This window comes from Homo sapiens, chromosome 2, assembly GCF_000001405.40.
Source record: "Homo sapiens chromosome 2, GRCh38.p14 Primary Assembly".
Lineage (NCBI taxonomy): Eukaryota > Metazoa > Chordata > Mammalia > Primates > Hominidae > Homo > Homo sapiens.
The window spans coordinates 181,775,990-181,776,889 of record NC_000002.12 but is presented as its reverse complement, the minus strand read 5'-3'; the positions used below and the strand labels follow the sequence as shown (position 1 = coordinate 181,776,889).

The following is a 900-nucleotide window of genomic DNA, read 5'->3' as shown; positions in this document are numbered from 1 at the left end:
GGTAATGCCATGGGTCTGATAGGTGAGCTAAGGCAAAGTCATTGGGATTGGCATTATAACATTCCAAGATCTTCAGGAGCTGGAAGATGGGGCTTGTGAGACTCAGAACTGTCTCGTGCGCTACTATTACCACTTAGGACTGTGAAGTAAGGAATTCGCTCAAACTGTACTGCTTTTCTTTTGCTCCAGCTTGTTTGGATCATCTGGATTTTAGTTATCTAAGTCAACCATGTAGTATCAGGGGCAGTATAAGATTAAACAGATGCACTAATGACAAAAAAAAATAATGTGAGATGACAACACTTTAGTTACTGAGGTTCTGCACAACAGGATGTTCTTTCCACACCACCTCTTCCTCTCATTCACTGGGGATGACAAGTCACAGTGCTTTGGTCCTTGGCAACTTATCATTCCAAAAGGAACTTGGCATATCAATGAGTTAGAAATGCGTGTTGAAGTTGCTTTCCTTTTTTACAGCGGTTTCCAGAAAAACCTGTAGGTGTTGGCAGAGAACATATAACTGTTTTATAAAAATATAAATTAAAGCCTCTGAAGGAGTTAGCTATCTGAGGAGTTAAAACTTACAAGAACTATTATTATAAAATTTCTGTAAAAGTAATATAATTGTTAAGAAATCTTAAATACATAGCACTTGGGAAGAAACTATAAGACATGAAAGATCTAGCAATCATAAATCAATAGATACTGGTACCCAAGAGTATTAGGTAAGGCACATACCAATATTTAATCAACACTTAACTATTGTGCAGTCATCCAACATTCACTGAGTGCCTATTGTATGCAATGTACTATGGAAGCCATGTGGAATATGCTAATATGAAACTGTCTGACTTCAGAGTCTATAGTTTAATGCTAGAGGTGAATTTAAAATTTATAATT

General features: G+C 36.4%; 1 annotated feature.

Moving 5' to 3' along the window:
• Positions 214 to 508: a silencer, noted in NCBI's record as "tiled region #14896; HepG2 Repressive non-DNase unmatched - State 23:Low". NCBI's record gives its function as "represses a minimal TATA promoter and a strong SV40 promoter by Sharpr-MPRA in HepG2 cells {active_cell/tissue: HepG2}" and the evidence as "EXISTENCE:reporter gene assay evidence [ECO:0000049][PMID:27701403]".